Source organism: Homo sapiens, chromosome 2, assembly GCF_000001405.40.
Source record: "Homo sapiens chromosome 2, GRCh38.p14 Primary Assembly".
NCBI classification, from domain to species: Eukaryota; Metazoa; Chordata; class Mammalia; order Primates; family Hominidae; genus Homo; species Homo sapiens.
The window spans coordinates 54596042-54618628 of record NC_000002.12 but is presented as its reverse complement, the minus strand read 5'-3'; the positions used below and the strand labels follow the sequence as shown (position 1 = coordinate 54618628).

General features: G+C 43.5%; 1 protein-coding gene across 13 annotated transcripts in view, besides 2 other annotated features; it reads right to left on the bottom strand.

The window, feature by feature from the left end:
- SPTBN1 (spectrin beta, non-erythrocytic 1) overlaps window positions 1-22587 on the bottom strand; it is a 215120-nt gene that overhangs the window by 52818 nt on the left and 139715 nt on the right. For all 13 annotated transcript variants that reach the window (NM_003128.3, XM_017004781.2, XM_017004779.2 and 10 more), the window contains 5 exons: window positions 19386-19537; window positions 6295-6468; window positions 2331-2422; window positions 941-1021; window positions 436-551 (listed from right to left, as the gene is read on the bottom strand). In NM_003128.3, the coding sequence (NP_003119.2) occupies window positions 436-551; window positions 941-1021; window positions 2331-2422; window positions 6295-6468; window positions 19386-19537 (615 nt within the window). The remainder of the gene's footprint in view (window positions 1-435; window positions 552-940; window positions 1022-2330; window positions 2423-6294; window positions 6469-19385; window positions 19538-22587) is intronic.
- Window positions 21051-21100: an enhancer, noted in NCBI's record as "active region_15765". NCBI's record gives its function as "activates an Ori minimal core promoter by ATAC-STARR-seq in GM12878 lymphoblastoid cells {active_cell/tissue: GM12878}" and the evidence as "EXISTENCE:reporter gene assay evidence [ECO:0000049][PMID:35858748]".
- Window positions 22165-22534: an enhancer, noted in NCBI's record as "active region_15764". NCBI's record gives its function as "activates an Ori minimal core promoter by ATAC-STARR-seq in GM12878 lymphoblastoid cells {active_cell/tissue: GM12878}" and the evidence as "EXISTENCE:reporter gene assay evidence [ECO:0000049][PMID:35858748]".

The window sequence follows — 22587 nt, the reverse complement described above, 5'->3', positions numbered from 1 at the left end:
AGGTTTTCTACTTTTCTACTTCGAGCACAGCTGCTAAGAACCTTCAATGACTCCCTGTTGCCTGTTGCCCCTATGGGGATCCCATCCACTAACAGAAGGGAATAGTGGTATTCCCTGCTATTACCCTAAACACCATTCCCATTGAATTGTTAGCCCTCAAGCATACCTTCTTCTTTCCTGGTTCTGCACCTTTGCACATGCTAGTAGCTCTGCCCGCACACGCTCTCCTTCAGACTCTGTTTAAATCGTATTCATCTTTCAAGGCCTTTTTGAGTGTCATCCTTTCCATAAATCCTCAAAAAATTCCCATAACCAAAATTAAGCTCTTCCTTTGATAACTCCCAAATGAAACAGACTGACACAAAACAGATTTTACATTAACACCTGGATGGTACAGATGCTAAAAATCCCACCTGTAATCCCTTGAGTCCCTACCTTCGGGGTCCAACAGTTTAGTGAGGCCGAGGTGCTGTTCTGCCAGATTAAATGCATTCTGCAGGTTGTAGTGTGCGTTAGATTTCTTTAGTTTGTCAAAATCTATCAGGTCAGGCCTGTGCAGAACAACAGTGGGACACAACAAAAATCATGGCTTGAAAAGAAATATGACTAATGAAACATGACTGTTACTCCAAAAAGGTTAAAATCACCAATTAGTGGAGTAAAACTCTAAAATATACTATCATGGAATCATCAAACAATGAAACCTGATTTTTGAATAAACACTTCAAAGTTAATTAAGAAAAAAAAGATTAAGGGAGAACCTGTTTATTCTGTTTGGAAGAATTTATATATTCTCCCATATTTTCCTCACATGGAATGCAGAAATTTCCACCACGGTGAGACAGTTAAGCCAACGGATATGGAAAAGTCACCCAAATCTGCTATGGAAGGACAGCAACCTTTTACCCCACGATTGCTAGGATGATTTGTATGGACTTACCGGTGTTTGTGTATCAGTGCATTGAAGGCCATGCCGTCCCTCCAGCTAGTGGTGAAATTGTGAATGTTGACATTGGGGTACCTGCCAAGGACAAAGCAGAAGGGAAAAGCAACACAATTACCACATGGAGGTTTATACTTTTGCCAAGTGCTTTGTTAATAAAAAGTCTGTAAGCATTGTAAAACCTAAAGCAGTGAATATCACTAAGGACAATCAAGTCAGAACAAATAATCCGTCAACTCGAGCCTGCCATAAAATAAAAATAAAACATGCATCCATGTGGCTTTTCTTGCTTGGTAATTCAGTCTCACAAAAGATGTGAACTGTGTCGTAGATTTAAAACACTACTCTTACTTAGGAAAAAGTGACGACAACCTAGACACCTCTGAGGCCTCTGCTTCCATTGGCTTTCTACTCTACCTACAAAGACACCAGGACCTGCAGTCCCTTGTCACACGTTACTTTGGGACAAGAAGTGGTGGGACTATCTGTTCAAGTGACACTCAGCTTTCTTTCTTCCATACGCCACTTAATTGGATGAAGTTTGTAAAAGTAGTACCTCCCTGAAAAATTTATGTGTGAAACTTACCCATAATGAATCAGCTATTCTATACCATATTGACTATTAATAACTTTATATCAGTAGCTGATTAAAGGTTCATACCTGACTTGACCCTTTTATTAGGCCATAAGCTCTTTATAGACATGATGACTTTTCAGCTAGCTCTCAGAATGGATGGAGTTCTGATTTTCATATTCTGAATTAATGTTCATTAGAGTTACATCTACACCTAAAGTAGTTCTGACAGTAAATCTAATTAACCTAAAATTGGGTCTCAGTAAGTACCTATGACCTTAAACCAATTTGCTAAGAACTCGAAGGCTTAGCATCAGTTGAGTCCTAACAATAGTAAGCAACAAAAAAGATGTGGTTCTCTAAAAACAACTTCACTGAAATTTCAATGAAAAAATAAAAGGGAAACTGACACAGATAATATTAAAAGGTTATGCTGTTGTTTACTGTGCAAAGAAAGCTCCCCAAAACAGAAATTAAAGGGTGAAGAAAACCTACAACTGTATTCTTAAAATATCATGGATATGATTCCTAAGCATGCTTCCAGGGTTTTCAAATTCAAAATATAATGCTCTCTGGAGCTTCCTTAATAAAGAGAAGGAAACTGATTATGAAGACATGACAGGTCTAAAATATAAATTAGAGCTCCTTTCATTCTGAGAGCTAATTGAAAAGTCATATCAACTGCTTGCGAGTTAACAAGACTTCCCAATGGAAGCAGTGGAAAAGATACCTGTCAACACCTTCTAAGTGATGACTGCAGTGGAATTCAGTCCTGGAAGAAGCAGCCCCAATACCCTCTTCATTCACACTCACCCAGCTGTCTTCATCTGGCACCACAACAGCAATGCATCCTTGGCAGATTTCTTCTCTTTGTTGTCTTCAGTTTCCACACTGATATCCTGGATCTAAGATTTACAAAGAAATATTAGACAAATAGATGGGTCAGCTGCCTAAAAGAACCACTGAAGAACAGGTCTGCATATACATAAAGAATAAACTGTAGATCATAGCCTTGCCCTGCAGACGATCTACCCTGTCAATGAAAACTGCTTCCTGAAGTCTGGGCTCACTTCAGAAACACAACGAAAACTACATTTTCTATGTCACACAGACAGAAGGCTGACGGGACTTCCCAGCACCTATCAGAGGTCATTTTTACCCCTGAGACAACCCATCTTTCCAGTGAGAATCTAGCACAGGGGTTCATACAGTGCATCTGGAATCTCACCAGACCCCCAGAAAAATACTGAGTTCGGTTTTTTTGTAAGTAAACATTTTTCACACCACGTGCAACCTTCATTGATGAGGGCACTGTGTGCACCATTTCCAAACTATTAGAGCAAGTGTGGGCTTAAACGCTGTGCTTCCATGGTGTGCCTTCATAAGCCGCTCAGAGGCAGCATATTTGCAACATTATACACAAAGCCTGGTCGGCTGGCACCAAAGTCAGACTGCCTGGATGTGAATCCAGGCTCCATCACCTACCATGTACCCTTGGGCAGGTTCCCCAGCTTCCCCATCTGAGGAATGGAAATAATGACAGTGGCTAATCTCACAGCACTGTTATGCACTTAAATGATATAATAAAGTGCAGAGCTCGTAATAAGGGTCTGTGAATGTTAGTTTTTAGATTAGGCGCCAACTGCCAGCTACGTAATTTTAGACAAATGCTCCAAATACACTTTTGTCTATTATATGAAAGTTTCCTCTTGTAGAGTAAAATGTGGAATGGAGTCAGGAGTGGATGGTGCTGGCCAGGAGTCCATCCATTGCCTCCAGCTGTAGCCATTTTAAGCTTCGCTGCTCTGTCATGCTCCCCACTACCTTCACTCCATTCAATCTACAAACACTTCCCAGAATTCTTTTTGAAAAACAGAGAAAATGAAGACAAAATATATAAATACAGGATTAAAAAGTTAGAAACTTTCAACTAGGAAAAACACCTGGGAATTGAAACAACTACATTAAAAAAAAATTCTCTATTTTTAATTGTGTTAAGAAGGTGAAGCCTGAGTCTGTATAAACCCCAGTCTCTAATATTAGGATCATTAGCTCAAGTGCAGAAAGGGAATGTGGAAGAACAACCCTCACTCAAGGGGTGAGAGACAGGCTCACCAGGAAAGTCAGGCTGCAACTTTACACACATTAACCCATTGGCTTTCTTATACTTCTGTGTGAAGGGTATCTGTTTCCAGATTTGCCCATATGGAAACAAAGCCTACCCTTCTGAAATGAAGACAGCTCCCTATTTAAACTAGGCAAACTTAGAGACTTCCACTCCAGTTTCTCACCATCTTTTACTTTTTTTTTTTTTTGAGACAGTCTCTGTCGCCCAGGCTGGAGTGCGGTGGTGTGATCTCGGCTCACTGCAATCTCCGCCTCCCATATTCAAGCGATTCTCCTGCCTCAGCTTCTCAAGTAACTGGGATCATAGGTGTCTGCCACCACACCTGGCTAATTTTTGTATTTTTAGTAGAGGCAGGGTATCGTCATGTTGGCCAGGTTGGTCCCGAACTCCTGATCTGAAGTGATCCACCCACCTTGGCCTCCCAAAGTGCTGGGATTACAGGCATGAGCCACCGCACCTGGCCCTTATACTCTCTTTTAAAGGGGCAGCATCATAAAATCTGTGTCATCATCAGTATTTAATGGACACTTCTATGCACATATAGGGTAGGCCATATCCTGGTAGCAATGAGAGCACACGCACGCACACACACACATACACACACACTGGGAACTTGTAAAACCGTATATTCAGGAGCTGGTGGAAGGAGAGACCGTTGTAGGTACACAGGGAAGCTTGACCCTATGTATCTACAAGGATATGTGGAGTATCCTTATAGATATGCTGGATATCTACAGCTGGGCCTTGGCTGATTCATAATCATATTATTTTTGTAGAATAGGTAATGTTTTAATAAAGCTGCTGGAGAAAGCTGAGTCATTTAAGACAACAACACTGCAGGCCACGCGGTAACATCAGCAGCCTATGCCTCTCACCTCAACAGAAAGGGAGAAAATACACATCAGCATTTACAAGTTGAATTATAGGAATATGCAAACTGGCAGGAAGCGAATTAGTCAATGACTCAAAGCAATTCACGCTGAGAATCCTGAAAAGGGCTGTGTGTGCCAGCTCCCTGACCTGGGTGCTGACCCGCTGTCAAGATAGCCCACAGTCAGGATGGCCTTCCACGCTCTGATTATTGCAGGCCAAAGCTAACAGAAATACAACATTTTACTCCATAAAACTGGGGTGAAGCTAGAGGAGTGTACTGCTAATAATTTCACCTCTGTTGCCATAAGACACAAGAGCAGTAATTAGTGGATTCAATGGCTACTCCATTTTCAAATCATTCAGGAACTAAATAACAGAAATGTAAGAGTTCTATCTGGGGAAAAATGTCCTTGATTGCTGTAATTAACTCCTTTAATGATGTTGTACCATCTTCAACAGTGGTTCTCTCTTCAGACCTACTTAATCAGAACTACTAGGGCTGGGCCCTGGGAACCTGAATTATTAAAAGGGTTTCCCAAAGGCATCAGATGATCAGCCAGCTTGGGAACCAGCCAGGCAGGAAGATATTTCTTCCTGTAACTCATTCTAGTCCCCTACCCCTTCTTCCCACATATATAATCACGACACTAACTGAAGCCCAATCGTAGGGCAAGTGAGAAGGAAAAGGGACTGTTGACAGGCTGATTTCAGAGTTTCAATAAGAAAACAAAGCAAGTTATAATTTGATTTTTCGTTTTTCCTTTTTGTGTGAGGTTTTTGTTTACCCAGAAAAATCAAAACAGATCTTTATTAAAGGGGCAGAACAGGAAGGAATGGCAAGAGAACACAGTCACTGAGGAGACAGGACTGTTAGAATATTTGTTCGCAGAGAAACCTGACACTATGGTACAAAGTTGTTCCTGCCTTTCCAATTTTAATTGGAACGCATGAGTACGAAGCATGAGCCTGGAGAAAGAACCAATAATCAGGCTCGTGGTGGTGCACAGTCCCAAAAGGCTGAGCGCTCTCTCTTAAGGGGTCAGAGGCACCCACTATAGCCCTGGCTGGCTGTGTCATCAGAGGCAAGGTTTCAAATTTCTGTGGGTCCCCGATTTCTTCATAAAGTGAAAGAAGTGGACAAAATGACCTTGAGAGTACCTTCCGGCTTAAAATACTTCTATACTTAGAGCCTTCCTCCTCAAGTATAACAAAACCCATAAAGCATCATCAATTCAAAGAAACACAAGAGTTTTGTACTTTCCTCCTGCAAACTGCTTCCTCACATCCAAAGAGAATGAGAAGGTGAAAATGGAGCCCACACACATGCCATAACCCTCAACAGCTTTGCCAAAAAATGTTCTGTAACACATGTCATAGTTGAGTGAAGTTGAGGCAGTCTAAGCTAATAACCTAGCATTGGCCACGTCCTTATACCTTTGCTCCTGAGAGCCAAGCAGCAGAGACCAGATGTTTAGAGCAGGTGCCAGCAAAGTGGCGGGCTGGGATGCAGCCTAGAAGCCCCTGGGCCGCTGAGATGTGTCTGACAGGAAAGCTAAGATTACCAGGGCTAGTACAATTGCAGGAGGATGTAGTAGCTTCCACGTGCCTACGAGGCAGCATTCAATTCTGAGGGCTGGATATGACACACATGACTCTGAGACATGCTTTCAACCTGGTCTTCCCGATCCCTCTGATACAGGGAGGCCAGCTCTATAACAATGCTCATACCTGAGAGGTCGGCCTAAGTTCTGAGCAACCCTGGGCAGAGACCCTTACCTGGAAGCGCAGGATGATGGTCCAGATGAGGCCAAGGGTCAGCCGGTGGTTTCCATCCACGATGTCATGGGACCCCATGTTCTCAAGATGGACTCTCTGCTCCTTCAGGAACTGAAGGGCCTTGTCCACATTCTCTAAGCAGTGGATGCGCATTCGTCCCTTGGTGGGTTTAGGCTAGAAACAGGAGAGCAGAGGTAGAGACACATCACCCAACAGAGTAGAGATGAACCCCGAGTTACTGCCTAGTCACATGTGCCCATTCATGCAATGCTCTCCCGCTCAGAGCAGAACATTAACAAACACATGTACTCATTAAGTCCAAGGACGGTATTTACCTAACGGCCACAGAAAAAAAGTTTACTTAAGGGGATGATAACTGATTCCTCTTTAGAGAATAGTTGTGGAGCTATATAGTTTACAAATGAGCATTTGTTTAAGTTCAGGGAAGAGAGAATCCAATTTTCATGGAGAATTTCAGCGCTACTGCTGCCATCCATACAATTTTTTTTTTTTGCAGGTGCATGACAAAACACCTGTGAGGATTTTCTGATTACTTGGAATGTAAAATTAGGTTTGCCACCTGCTGGCAACCCTTAAGCTTGGCTCAAAATGAAAACAGGGAACACAACCATCAAATCAGAAGAATTTCCAAGTGGTGGTTGTGTGTGGAGGGATGGGGTGAAGGTTAAGTAAAGAAGTATAACTTACTGAAAAGAAGGGGAAAAGGGAAAAAAATGAGTGTAGTGCAATTTAAATACCCCAAATGTTTCTTCCCTCTACCCAGTTTTATCAAAACGTAAAAGAGGCCCTTGGAAGGTGAACATTTTAAATAAAACAAACAAACAAAAAATATATATATAGAGAGAGAGTAGATAATGCATATGTGTATATATACATCTACTATAAAATATACTATTATAGAAGTATATATACGTCTCCTGTAAAAGCACACACACATCTACTATAAAAATATAGTAAATATACACAGTTGACCTTTAGTTGGGCCTGAACTATTCAAATGCACTTATACATGGATATTTTTCAATAAATAAACTGGAAAACTTTTTAGAGATTGGTGACAATTTGAAAAGATTCAGATGAATGGCCTAGCCTAGAAATACCAGAAAAATTAAGAAAAAGGTATGTCATGAATGCATAAAATATATATAGATGTTAGTCTATTTTATAATTTACTACCGCAAAATATATACAAATCTGTCATAAAATTAAAAATTATCAAAACTCATACACACAAACACAGATTGTAATGGCACCATTTGAGCAGTATTAAATCTTGGTATGTACTGTACTACTATAGTAATTTCAGAGCCATCTCTAACTCCTACTGTGATGAGCTCAAGTATTGTTGAGTGCCTACTTAAAATGCCTATGATGCTAATCATCTCCACGTGGTCTCTCTAGTAAATTGGGTATCACAGTAAAAAGCCATCTCTCACAGTTCTTGTGTATTTTTCACAGTGTCTAGTGCAATACTGTAAACCTTGACTAATATCATGAGACCCAAAGTGCCACTAGTGATGCTGGAAGTACTCCCAAGAAGCAGAGAGAAGTCATGACATTACAAGAAAAGGATGAACTGCTTGCTATGTATTGTAGATTGAGGTCTACAGTTGTGGTGGCCCACCATTTGAAGACTAAAAAAAGAAAAGGAAATTTGTGAAGCCATCCCTGAAGCTACACCAGCAGATGCAAAGACCTTGCACTTTTTTGTGAAATATCTTTTTATCTCATATTGAAAATGCAGCGTTTGGCTGGGTGCAGCAGCTCATGCCTGTAATCCCAGCACTTTGGGAGGCTGAGGCGGGCAGACTGCTTGTGCCCAGGAGTTTGAGACCAGCCTGGACAACATGGCAAAAACCCGTCTCTACAAAATAAATAAATAAATAATGAATTAATTAAAAATGCATCTTTTATGTGAGTGCAGGATTGCCATAAGAGAGGCATACCTAAGGACTAATATGATTTGAGAAAAAATGAAGTCATCATATGACAATTTAAAGGCATAGGAAGGTGAAGGATCTAAGGCTGGAGAATGTAACACCAGCAAAGGATGGCATGACTATTAATTTTTAATTGGGTAGCCCTCAGAACCAGGAAAGGTTCACAGAGCTCCCAGTCTGATAATTTCGGAAAGAGGTTTGGCTTAAAAAATGTCAAGGAATTGGGAGAAGCAGCTTTTGCTGACCAAGAGGCAGCAGATGAGTTCCCAGGCACCATTAAGAAAATCAATGAAGGAAAAGTGTATCTTGCCTCAACAAGTTTTTAATGCAGACGAAAGTGCCCTGTTCACAAAAGCCCAGTAAGAGAAAGAGAGGTGAGCACCAGGACTTAAGGCATAAAGGGATAGGCTAACTCTACTGTTCTGTGCAAATGCAGCTGGGTTTATAATCAGGACTGCCCTTATTCATAAGGCTGCTAACCTTTGAGCCTTGAAGGGAAAAAATAAATACCAGCTGCCAGTCTTCTGGTTGTACAAAAAGAAGGCCTGGACAATGACAACCGGTTTTCTGAATTGGTTCTACTGATGTTTTGGTTCCTGAAGTCTCAAAGTACCTTGCCAGTAAGAGGCTGCGTTTTAAAGTTCTTTTGGTATTGGATAATGCCCCCACCCAGAACCCCATGAGTTCAACACTGAAGGCACTGACATGGTCTACTGGCCCCTAAACACAACATCCCTAATTCAGCCTCTAGATCAAGGGGTCATAAGGACTTGTAACGCTCATTACTACACAAAACTCTATGGAAAGATTTGTTGATGCTATGGAATAGAATCCCCAACAGAGAGAACATCAGGAAAATCTGGGAGGACTACACCACTGAAGATGCCATCATTGTTACAGAAAAAGCTGTGAAAGCCATCGAGCCTGAAACAATACATTCCTGCTGAAGAAAATGATGTCCAGATGTTACACAGGACTTCACAGAATTTATGACAGAGCCAATGAAGGAAATTATGAAAGAGGTTGTGGATATGGCAAAAAGGTAGAGGGGTGAAGGTTTTCATGATACGGATCTTGGAGAAATTCAAGAGCTATCAGACACCACATCAGAAGAATTAACGGAAGACGACTTGATGAAAATGAGTGTCTCCAAAAAGATGACAAATGATGCGGAAGAGGATGTAAAAGCAGTACCAGAAAACAAATTGAATTTGTTCCAAGGGTTCCAATTATTCAAGACTGCTTGTGTTATTTCCATAAAGTTACACCAAGTGTCCCTGCCTCTTCTGCCTCCCCTTCTACCTCCTCCACTTCTACTACACCAAGATGGCAAGACCAATCCCCCCACCTTCCTCCTCAGCCTACTCAACGTGAAGACAAGGATGAAGACATTTATGATGATCCACTTCCACTTAATGAATCTGCAAATATATTTTCTCTTCCTTTTCTAACATTTTCTTTTCCCTAGCTTACTTTAAGACTACAGTAATGTAATACACATAACATGCAAAATATGTTAATTGACTGTTTATATTATTGATAAGACAACAGTAGGCTATTAAAAGTTTTGGGGGAATCAAATGCATAGGAAGATTTTCAGCGGCATGGGGTTGGTGCCCCTAAACCCCCTGCTTTGTTCAAGGATCCACTGTGTGTGTGCATGCGCGCACTCGTGCGCGCATGCACACACACGCACACAAAATGGGTTTCTATTATCTGTTGTACCAACACCAAGCTCATGCCCTCGCCCATCTGGCTCCATCCTTCTCTCCTTCCTATTTCCCATCACTCCCCCTCTAGTAGAGGCTGCACCTGGAGCTGATGTCACCATCTCATAAAGATGCCAGGAGGATGCACACATCCACATGTAGAAGAACGCACTCAGCCTGTGACCCATCATCTTGACTTCCCAATCTCTTCACCTCATCACACCTACCTACCTTCCAAGGCTCAGGCCAAGGCCCATCTTTCCTTCCCGGAGACATTCCCATTTCCAATCATTCTGGTTCTCACAGCTCTTCTTTTCCTCACAACTCTACAACTAACAGGCTGGACCACAGAGCCCAGGAACTCATCATTATAATTTTGCTGTTGTTTCATTTATTGCTCTTATTACTTCCAACTAGACTGTTCGCTTCCTAAGAGCAAGGATGAGGCTTTATACTTCTATATTCTCAGGGGTTTTTGGTCCAGTTCTGAGCACAGAGTTATGTGCACAGTGAACTGAATGCCAGCAGACAGACTGGGCTTGGTGTGTGCTGAGCGGACCTCACAGGGGAAAGGGGGCCAGGCTGCAGCAACCCAGGTACACGCAATTAAGGGCAGCAGCCAGCCCTACCTTAGTATCTTGTCCATTCCCTGCTCTTCCCCTGGGTAGTTAAGATCCTCAGCTATGTGCTGTACGGAAAACGTCTGAAAGGAAGGTTACTTGGGTAACAAGCGGCCATTTTAAGTCTGTCCAGTCTCAGATTATTATTTTTCACTTTCTTTTCTCCTATAAAAAAGGACAAGTAAAAACAGAAGAATGTGGTTGACCTTGAGGAAATAAGATTATGTGCAGAGGCCTACCACAAGTAGAAAAATTTTATTTTCAAATATATTTGTCCCTTGGTATCCACAGGGGATTGATTCCAGGACCCCCAATGATACCAAAATCCATAAATGCTCAAGTCGCTTATATAAAACGGCACAGTATTTGATATAACCTATGCACATCCTCCCATCTACTTTAAAAATTAATTTATTAATTTTTTTTTTGAGACAGAGTCTCGCTCTGTCGCCCAGGCTGGAGTGCAATGGCACGATCTCACCGCAATCTCTGCCTCCTGGGTTCAAGAGATTCTCCTGCCTCAGCCTCCCAAGTAGCGGGGTTATAGGCACCAGTCACCACGCCTGGCTAATTTTTGTATTTTTAGTAGAGATGGCGTTTCACCATGTTGGCCAAGCTGGTCTTGAACTCCTGATCTCAAATGATCCATCCACCTTGGCCTCCCAAAGTGCTGGGATTACAGGCGTGAGCCAGCCCCCCGGCCTCCCATATATTTTAAATCATGGCTATATTATTTGTAACTAATACAATATAAATGGTATGTAAATAGTTGTTATACTGTATTTTTAAAAAATTGTATCACTGTTTATTTCTGTATTGTTATTTTTCATTGTTCTTCCCCTTGAATATTTTCTACCTGCAGTCAGTTAAATCTGCAGATGCAGAACCAGACCATAATAGCAATGGAAAAAGAAATGTCTTTAAACATTAAGCTTTTCACATTAATGTGATATCCTCCTTACCCCAAAAAAAGAAAGAGGTGGATTTTGCCTTTAGAAACTTCAAAATGATTTTAATTCGGTTATGTGGGAAATGCTAGAATTTGCTATTTGTGCAATGCCAGGTTGCATCAAAATCAAGCAATCTAACGAGGTAGGAAAAAATAGATATAAAATACGGGTGGGCTTAATCTAAAATTCTGTAACTCTGATTCTGCAAGTGCTGTTTGAGGTAACACTGGTGCTCTCTCTCCACGGTACACCCGTCAGCCTCCTAAAGCTGGCCCAGACACCATTACGCTCCTATCCGAGAAAGGGATGCCTGTGTAATCGGTGCCGCCCTAGAAGAGGTGGGTGGAGCAGCTCTCCCCGCCAGCAGTCACAGAACTGCATATGGCTCTCATGTGTGCTCTTTAAGTTTTTCCTTTTGTCTCCTGGATCAGCTATCATTTCTCATGCTGAAACGTGACTATTCACAGCAGCCCCTTTTCTTCTCACATCCAGGTGGTTTCTGGATTGAACGAAGCTCCTGGTTCAAAACTGTTCAAATTTGAGGGATGGGGATTAACTGCCTCTAAGAAAGGTGCAGGGGCTTCTGACATTTTTGCTGTTCAGGGGCCTTTTCTTCTCATTTCTTGTCAGTTCGTGCACCTGAGCAGTGAGATAGTGAGTGGTCCAGCTACATGTGCTGTTTCCATCACAAACAAAGTGTCTTCATGATGGGAACTGCAGATCAAGGGGGACAGAAACTTCTAACTGCAGCAGCCATTCTCATAAGTCTCCCTCCAAGAGGGTGGAGGCGACAGTGTGGATGGTATTATGAGAAGTTAAGGAAGAGAATAATGAATAGATGGGGACTGTCGGTACCTTCCCAGGCTCCAACCAGCAGGACATAACCAATGTTCTTTCAGACTTTATCCTGAAAGCTTGATCTCAAATAATCACTTGTCTGACTTACATTCAAATGAATGCGGTAGAAAAAGTGGTCCTCTCAGAATCTCCTCCCCACAAACAGGAAACATGTATGAGACATTCCACAACTCTATTCTCTCTCTACAAATCTCAATGGAATGTGTGTGTGCTTCCACATGAACATGGGGTCCAGGGTGTGGGAGGGGGAGGGTGGTGATGGGGCCCAAACACATTCACGCAGGTTGAAGAAGTTCAATGCCACATCACAGGGACCCCATGCTGATGGCGACTGGCTGTGCCAGATGAACTAAGGGATGGTTCATTCCAGACCTGGATGCAACTCAAAAACCAGCAAGCCACAGAATAACAAGAATAAACAAGATACAGCAAGGTGAGATGACCTCCTGGTGGTACTATACGAGAGGAGTGGGAATTGAGACTAAAACTCAAGTACACCACACACTCCCACAACGTGTGTTCTATCTGCTTCAGAGTAGGCTTCTCACATGTTTTAAAGCACAATACCTGGGCAAGTTTAGGAAGCAGTAATTACAAGAAATTAATTTCAAGAGGTGATCATGATCTCACAGAGCTATCCATAGAAACATGTTGGTCATACAAACTTCAAAGTTCCCAAGATCTAAAAATTCATAGCTGCCACTTACTGAGCAACTACTGTGTGTTCACCTCTCCCTGCTAGGTGGTTGACAACTGTGATCACATCTAATCCTCACAGTAACCCTGCATTATAATAATTACTATTCCTGTCATTTTATACATGAAGACACAGTGGCTCAGAGAGATGAAGCAATCTACCAGCTAGTTAGGATGTGGTGAACCAGGACTTAAAGCTCGTCCTCTTTACAGTACAGGAAAAACCCAGAATACAGGGAAGAGGGGTACATGCTTCCATGTGAAAGGAAGTGAGGGACTCGGTTCCCATCTGGTGGCTGGTTTTCATTTTTTTAAAGAGCTATTTTTATATTGCCAAACTTCATCTTCTCAAAAGGAAGAAGAGGTAACAATAGAGAATTAAACACAATGGAGCAGAGGGAGGGGGCGCCTCTCAGCAGTAAACACTTTCTGAAGCCTGCCCCAAGAGCAGCTAATTCTGCAAAGGAAAGAAGCGTCCTCTGTCTTGCCTCCATTATTGGCCATCGGATTCCCTAGTGCGGCATGCTTCCGTCCCCACAGCAACATGTGCACTTCTGTGTCACTTCTGACAGGAAAGTCTGAAACGCCCTTAACGTGGGGCCAAGGGTCGATACCAGACTCCTGTGACTATCGGGGCTCTGCAGGCAGAGAGCAGTTCCTCTGAGGAAATGCCTATTTTTACTGATCCTCCTTTAAATCATTTTAAGAAGCTTCCCTTCCCCTCACACTACAGTCCGTGGATTCCTGTGTTTTTTTCACAGGCACTTTTTCTGTTTCCCCCTCCCAAGGTCCCGTCTAGTCCTAAACCTTTACCAGCCATATCTCCATCCCAGGCCCATCTTCTTTCTCGCTCTAAAACAGGAGAGGAAACTTAAGGGGCTACATAAACATCTCTAGGATCTGACAACATAATTCTAATTGCTTATTAGAGTCCAGTCCAGGCCCTGCCTAAGAAGCAGTATGGCCTTGGGCAATTCCTTCGCATGGACCAAAAACCCTTAGAGAGGAAGGAGGGGGCTGGGTGATCCCTCCTGGGGCACTGGCTCTGTCCCACCTGCCTGCCCAGCCTTGAGTTTGGGTCATTTACACTCTGCAAGGCATCAGGATTTGCAGAACTATGGAGTAATTACAACCGCAAAGGTTTTGTCACTCCAGAGATGGAGAGGAAAAGAAAGAAAGAAAGAAAAAAAAAGCTTCTGAGAGCTAATTTGGCCTCTTTTTTTTATAGGAGAGGAAGATATAAGGGAAGGTTTCTGGCAGGGTGTTTTGGGAGGTCTCTGGGGTGCTGCGATGCCCTGTTCCACCCTGTACTCCCTGCCCCTTCTTTCTCTATACGTGTCCAAAGAAACCCTGCAGCTACCTGGAGTGACAACTATCAAGGGTTGTGGTGCTGGGCAGAGCACAGCCCCGGGCACTGAGAGAGGCCAATGAGGCCTAGATCTGCCATAACCCAGCTGGGTGGCCTTGCTGGTCACTTATTTTCCCTGACTTACCATATCTACCAAGTGAGGGGATTTAACTTGGTGGTCACTGAAGTCACTTACAGCTGTATGATAACAATCTACAGGGTGTTGCAGGACAGAGGACTCACTAGCACCAAAGCTGAAGTCTACAGTGTCTGCCAATCTCTTGTTCAGGTGAAGAGGAAATACAGAAGACACTGATCTCAGCAAATCAGTGTGACAGGCACTTGCTTATGTTTTTTTCTTTTAATTAAACATAGATTTTTGCTATACACATTCACAAACAAAGGCCTCTACGGAATACATAGGGTAGGATGGGAAGCACTAATTCCAAAATTTCTTCTAATATGCTACAAAGCCAAACTCACTTCACACTAGTCCCCAAACTCCTCCCAACACATGAAACTTTGAGCTTTCAGAGGAGTATTAGTTATTTTGGCCCAATTACAATTAATCGGGGAATACCACACTGTGTCCCATGACTTCCTGCCTGTCTTGTTCCCAGCTGGGACCCACTCCTAAGGGCTCCATGGGAAAGGAGGCGCTGAAGAGTCAGCAGGGTGGGCTGCAGTCCACACCATATCGCCTACTAGCAGCACTGGCCTTGGCAAGTCACTGGTAACTGTTTTCTGTAAAGCAGAGGTTGCCCACTTCATTAGACTGTAAGAACTGAATGAGAAAAGAGTAGGAGAGTACTCTGTAAACACAAGTGATAGGGAAGTTACCATCACCACTCCTTTCAAAAAAAACCCCTCCAGTTTGGCTGGGAAACTTGCCCTGCGCCAGTTCCTGATGCCTGCTACCTCCAAATGCTCTCTTCACTTAGTCCAAACTATGAGCTTTCACACTCTGGCTGCCCGGCCTGTGAAGCTCTTCTCCTGGACCCAGCTGGAACCCTACCCACACCCTACCCTCCTACTAAGGTTTCTTGACATCCTGTCCAGAGGGCTCATCTCCCCTTCTGAACTCTAGGGCTCTGGGGCCATTCATCTGGCACTTTATCATGTGGCACTTAGGACTCTTAGTTCACTTCTCAAGTTTGTGTGATTAGACCCACATTTAATGTAGGAGTTCTGTGGCTGGTTGTTTAAAACAAAAGTAAATTCTCCCATACAAATGACGTTTTTAAGAAACCCCAACGAGGTTCCATGGCCAGTCCACAAACACTATTTCAATAAACAATATGTACCAGTATGGTTCTCTTAAACAAAGGCTTTATGAAAAAACTCAGAGCAGTTCAACGTGGGATTTGAGGCTTAACAAATCTCATGTTAAATCTATCTTCTCCACCTAGCTCAGCCTGCTTTGAAATTAATGGTGGCAACATACACAAACACACACACATGCACGCACACACACACTCTTTTCTGTTGCTTTCTCAGAGAATGACTGATGGAGTAAGAAGACAGAATACAGATCAGGAAACAACAGGGAAGCAAAAACCAGTGATAACTGACTTGGTGGGGTTTGGGGGAGGGCAGAGTTGTTTGGAAAACCTCACTCTATCTCGGTCAGAGGCGAGGGCTTAGTCTGGCCAGGAGCAAGGCAAAAAACTGGCCACCATAGTGAGAATCAATCTTCACTGCAGACGCCCATGAAGGGAGATGGCAGGCAATGGGGAGCATCTAAAGTGGATTATGAGCTGTGGGCAGAACATTACCATTGAAGTGCAGGCCTATCGTATGCCAGGGGCTCCTCTCTCTCCACATGTCAACGCTGCTGCAGGGCAAACCATCACCCCTCAAGCCTCATTCTACTCTGGTCCTGAGATCTAGGTCTAATTACTAAGTGGCCAGCACAGGTTCTGTGCTCACACTTTTATCTGCCAATCCAATGTTAAAGTAAAGGGTGGGTCTGTATTTCTAAGGCATTTTTCAAGTGAGACCTTTATGGAGAGTTATAGACTATAGTGAACTCAGAATAAGAAATGAGAAAAGAATAGTTTTATTTCTAATCAATCTAATCCTGACTAGCAGAAGCTTCCTGGCCCAGCTCTCAGCCTTCTCACTGCTCTATGAGCTGATACACCTGAGACCGAGAGGGAGCAGACACTTCTGGACACAGATCATAACCAGGCCAGGACCAGAGATCTCTGCCTTGTGATGTTGCTGAGTAGTTCAAAATCAAGTTCCCAAATGCCTACATGATACTTGCTCATATTTAACTCAAATATTATTGAGCCAAAATCCAGGGTGGGGTGAGGGTGGAATTGTCTGGGTCATTAATGTTTCTTTGAACTTTACTCAGAAAACACACATGCACACATTCACAGATTTCCTCCTCTGTAAAGGAAGTGGCTCTAAGAATCTATTAATTAAGTAAATTGAATCACCTAGTCCCTCAAACATTTATCTGCTAGCTATTGCCAAGCTGGTGGTTAAGTGCTGGGGCTAAAATGCTGGCTGACAAAGACTGGGCTCCAGATAGAGTGCAAACATTTATGTTACCCAGGGTTTTGGACCACTGGTGCAGAAAGCCCAGCTAATGTTATCTGATGACACACTTAGCTGGGACATTCATTTACCCAGGCCTGGAAGCTCTAACCACCTCATTAGTTCTGGAATCTGAATATGCAAGGAACCTTTGGGGCAAGCTCTCATGGAGGTCTTCTGCAGGGAGGATCTTTAACTTGAGGTCCTGGCAACCTCCACGGCCAAAGGCAGTGTGTGGTGTGTTTCCTTTCCAGGAAGTTCCATGAACCAAACAGACTACGAGGCCAAAGAGACTTAAAATCTCCAGCCCAGATGAACAAGAGCTTTAAGAGCACTCTATCTATGGTATCTTTATTTTTGGAATAAGAAAATTAGACTGGCCAACCTATATAATCCAAGATGGCTGTGAAGAATGGGTAATACAAATGAAGGCACTAGGGGCTTTACAAAGTTCTGTAAAACTACTGATATCGACTGCCTAAGAGGTTGGAGATGGTAGCCACTGTACCATCTTCTTCATCCTTACTCTCCTAGGTCTCTGGGTTGCCACAAAAAAACTTACTGCTAACAAATAAGGAGAGGAGTGGGAGATACTCACACACATCTAAGAATTATGCTTTACTGGTTTTTCTCCCTACTTATATTTTTCTTGCCCTGTTCAGAAAAAACGGCAATGGGCCTGATCCCATTTATGATGTGGACATTATCAAGGACACAATCTTCTTGGTATAAAATAATTATGGGTCTTTAAAGGTGAACAGTTTACTCCCTACAGCCTAGAAGATTGGACCCTATTGGAACAAAAATAAATTAAAAAAAAAAAACCACAAAAATAAATGTTCAGACTAACTCCTATCCATGTGACCTTTAATGATTTTTTTTAGCTACTTTCAAAACACCATTCCCCCACTCCACAAAAAAAAAAAAAAAATCAATAAATAAACATACTAGGTTAAACACTAAGAAACAAAAAAAGGTTGAGAGGTAGACAAAGGAAGTCTGGTTATAAAAATTATACTTAAAGCTGCATATCACAATAATTCTAGTCTAGGCTCTCAAACAAGACTCACTTTGGAAAATCAAATCAAAATGCAATAAATGGCCTGTTCAAACTCCCCATGTGGGTCCACTCCCTCACCCCCAGACCACAAATCAACTGCCTTCTTATAGCCATCATGGTTTTGAGCAGGGGTCTCCGTTATTTGTCTAGTTTGTCTAGTGTGACCGACAAACCCTCACAGAAAATGAGGCCACAAGACCTACATGCTCAGGAACAAAGGGCATGGATGAAACTCACTACAGAGAAGACAGGGCTTCACTATCTTCTGGAGAGCCCTGTTCTTGAACTGAAGGGCAGGGAAGAGAATACTTTTCTGGCTCCATTTCAACCCAGACTCAAAGAGGCAGTCTGTCTCTGAGCTGATAACAAATAGGACAAGGGACAACCTTAGACCCTTGCCTGCGGTCAGAGGTGTGGGGCAGGTCTGCACACAGGCCTACTGCGGCTGGCAAGCTACAGGGTGGAGATCAAGTTAAAAATAAGGCTTTCTGGCAGCCCTGCCAACTGCCAGCATCATATTTTCCTGGTGATGTCAGTACAGATGTGGTCTCCATTCTGGGCGTTGGCTTCTGGCTCGGCACCACTTCCACCTATGGCACTACATGTGCTCTGGGAGGATACAGCAACCATTTTCAAACCAAGGTGAGACAAAACCTGTTGGATCAGTCACAGTGACTGCTTTAAGCTTCTTTGGTATAAGGTGCATAAACAAGAGTCACATCAGAGAGGGCCGCAGCAGCTCTGGGAAACAGATTGGGGATACAATTTTCATTGCAGGCTGACAACTTTCCTGCCTGAAAAGGCAGGGTGAATTCATCAGAAGCTCCTTTCCCAAGGAGATGACAAAACACCAGCTTCTCCCTCCACTCCCAAAATAAAAAGCGTGCAGGGAAGAAAACATCAGTGGCCACTGAATTCAATGCTTGCCACCTTAAGATGGCAGCTCAGATTTTCTAGACAACCAGAAAGACACAAATTTAGAAAACATTCCATCATCGCATGTGGGACACAGGTTCATCTAGAAGCCAGCGCCCAAGCCTGGCCCTTCAAATTCCAGCACCATGCCCTGTTCTTGGCAGGAACCCCAGCCAAGTTCTTTCTGACCAAAGGTGGCAACCTTGCAAATTACCAGAACAAAGTGGCTTTATTACAGCTCAAGAACATCATCCACGCTCAGAATGTGACACTAAGGCTCTCCCTGAAGCGCTCAACTCACTTCTCAAGATTCTCCTCAAAACTATCAACCATTAAGTGCAGAATTCAACAGGAGACAAGTCACACTTGATTTTTCAAAAATATTTTCCACCTACAACACACGGCACTTCCTAAGGTCTCCACTCACCAGCCTCTCTCCAGAGAGGACCTCCAGCAGCTTGATGAGCATCCGTCCATCTCGAAGGTCAGTGTACAGGTCTGTGATCCGGCAGGACACACGGGCAAGGTGGGAATTGACCCACTTGGTGAAGGTCTTCTTCTGCACGGCTTCACGCTCATCTGCAAGCAGAGAAGAACTTGTTTTACCATTGACCACAGAACTGGCAGGAGCAGGCACATGCTAGCAGGGCCACAAGACCCCAGCCAGAGGAAGGTCAGCAAAACTGACCTCCAAGGACACCTCTACTTAGCGCCCCTTAACTGCGGTCATGTCTTTGAGAAAGAACACTGATTACTGATGGTTCAACTTACAATTTTTTGACTTTACGATGGGTTTACTGGGATATAATCTCATAAGTCAAGGAGCATCTGTGTAGGAACTGTCCAGTCCTTAAACATGTGAGCTCCCAGGCACACTGCCAGCAGAACATCCTTTGCTCCCCTTTCTTTTCTCCCATCCCTGCTGAAGAGGCAGCAGGATGCAGATGACAACAGGGTCCTTTGCAGTCCTGCCCTATACCATAATACTTGACTGGTAAAGCTTCCTACATACATGTTACAGCTATTATTCCTCCAAAAGGTGAGTATATTAAAGGGTGTAGGGTAGGAAATCTCATGAGACAGCAGAAAACTGCTTCCCTCATCTACAAAGGATTGGGCAACACTGGACAAGATAAATTAACTCATGACCTTGGCAATGACCGTCTTCACCTGCTCAGTCACACACACCATGAACAACAAAAGAAAATGGCAAGCAACATGGTAGAGTGCAAAGACATCGCAGGCATCGGGAAGTCTTTGCAGGCATCGGGAAAGCAGGGTCTGGGCCCAAGGTTTCAACAAAAATGTGACTCAACACAGGATTCAATGTTCTCTTCTATAAAAGGAGAAGAAAAATATAATCTCCATACTGTGATCCTTCGCTGAAAAGGCAACTGCTGATTTATGGTCTAAAGCGTGATTGTTGTACATTCAAGTCATCCAGGAAACAGTGTTAAAGGTTTTTCAAAGCTCAGTAATCAAATTCTGTCCAATTTAAGGTATAAAACTCTAGACATATTTGCCCAGAACTGGCCTTCACATACCATACAAATAGGCTTTCAAACTTCTTGCCTCTGCAGAATGTTCTAAACATAGGTTGCTGAAGACCTTCAACAGACATCCACAGAACGTACCCTGGACCCAACCACTCTTACTCCCTGACTCTGTTCTCTATGTTACATACACTATATCTAGTTCCACCAGCATGAATTTATGCCAAAAATCTAAGACCTACTCCTAGTGCAAACCCAAATGACAAAAATAATTACACACGAATCTACAAAAAAAAAAAAAAAAAAAAAAAGCAGATAGCTCAACAATTTGGCATGTATTTCAAAACCACTGGGTGGGGGTAACAACTAAAAAGCCACCCTTGCTAATAAGGCATGTGCCCAGTCGCCTGAGAGTACTGGGTTCTCAGGTTGGCCAGAAGGACAGCAAACAGCCCAACACCCTGGGAAGGTCTGTCTGAAGGCTTTGCTAAACTCACTCCACCACCCACCACAGGGAGGGAATGAGGCAGAGATGACATTGGTTGAGGTTTTACAGCTGCCGACCTGGCAGGAGAATCAGCTGGGGCACCTGCCAAGATCCCCGGCCACCTGCTACAGTCAGCGGCTCCTTGAGGTCCTGCCTTTCCCAAAAAGGACCTACCCATCCAGACAGAAGGAGGGCCCTTCCCCAGGGACAAAGGCCAACCAGAAACACAGGATCAAAAAGGACAGGATTAGAGGAAGCAGAAAAAGACAGTAAGGGGCAGGCTGCAGTGGAGAAGCAGCTGCACCAATAACATCATGACAGGTCCCACAGAAAAGACCACATGCATTATTGATCACGTAATCATTGTGATGGATGGCAACTTTACTACAGTGACTCAGGAGCTGTAATTCTGGGGCTAAGCTTGGCCATTCTGAAAGAGCAGGTCTAGAGCAGAATATGTAAGGTGCATTTCACAGATGGCCTCTTATCAAGGAGGCAAGTAACTCATAGTTTATATGTATTTAGGGTTAACAATTTTTTTTGTGAATTATAAAATCCTTTATGCGTTATACTGGAGTCAGAAAATGTCTTTAATGAAGCAAGGGAGCAAGATCAAAATGAAAACCTGCTTGGATTAAAATATTTCTAAATAAACAAGCACAAAATGTGTTCCTCAGCCAATTGTCACTCTTTTGGGTGAATCTCTCACTAAAGGAGCACCCAGACTTCTTTCAGGTTTTGAATTAACAGGTTCTTTCACAAGGAAACTCTGAGGATTTGCCAGAAACAACAGTCAATATACTTCCTTAGTGCCCTGTCCTAAAGAGTTACAGCCCAATCCCAACCCTCCTCCCTACAGAGAGGCAAATGGAGAGGTCATGGGTGGGTGCAGAGAACAGAGCTGAAACAGACTGAGATCTGTGCCGGGAGGGCTCCCCAGGGCTATCATGGTTCTTAGAAACTCAAAGTAGGTGGGAGGAAAGAAGAGGAGGAAGAGATGTCAAAAATAAAAAAACAAGCTCTTGTGTTCCTGCCCTCTCTTCCTGTTCCCCTCCCTTCGAACTCTCCTCACAGTCAGGAGCAGGCCCCACGAAGTGCAAGAGTGCTGGAAAAATCACGCAGGGTCTAAGTTCCTCAGGTTCACACCCCCACGTTGGAAAAGACACAGAAGATTCCATCCGGGGACCAGACCAGAATCAACACCCTCATAACACACGAGGGGCAGGAAACGGACTCAACAGAGACACACAAAGCCCCAGTCAACTAGCGTGTCCTCTTACAATGGAGCACTTGGAGAACAGCAAATGCTTATGAAGTTGGAAGGAGGGAGACAGAGGGGAAAAGAAATCTATTTGGTGGCTCAGTAGAGGATCAGGCTTCGGGTCCTTGGGGACTCCCTCCTTTGTTCCACCTATCCTGGGAAGGCACAATGACATCACCCCTGCACTCCCCACCCAGCAAGGCTTGGGGATATGGGCCAGACAGTCTGAGGAGGAGCAGGAGGCCCTTGGCACTGACGATGAAAGGCAATCCAGGAGTGCTTCCAAGCTCAAGCTGCTGTGACTGGGGCTAGCTGCGTGAGGAGGTGTTGGGGCAGCAGAGGGCAGTGAGCCGACTTCCAGGCCTATGAGCATGAAGCAACCGTGGTT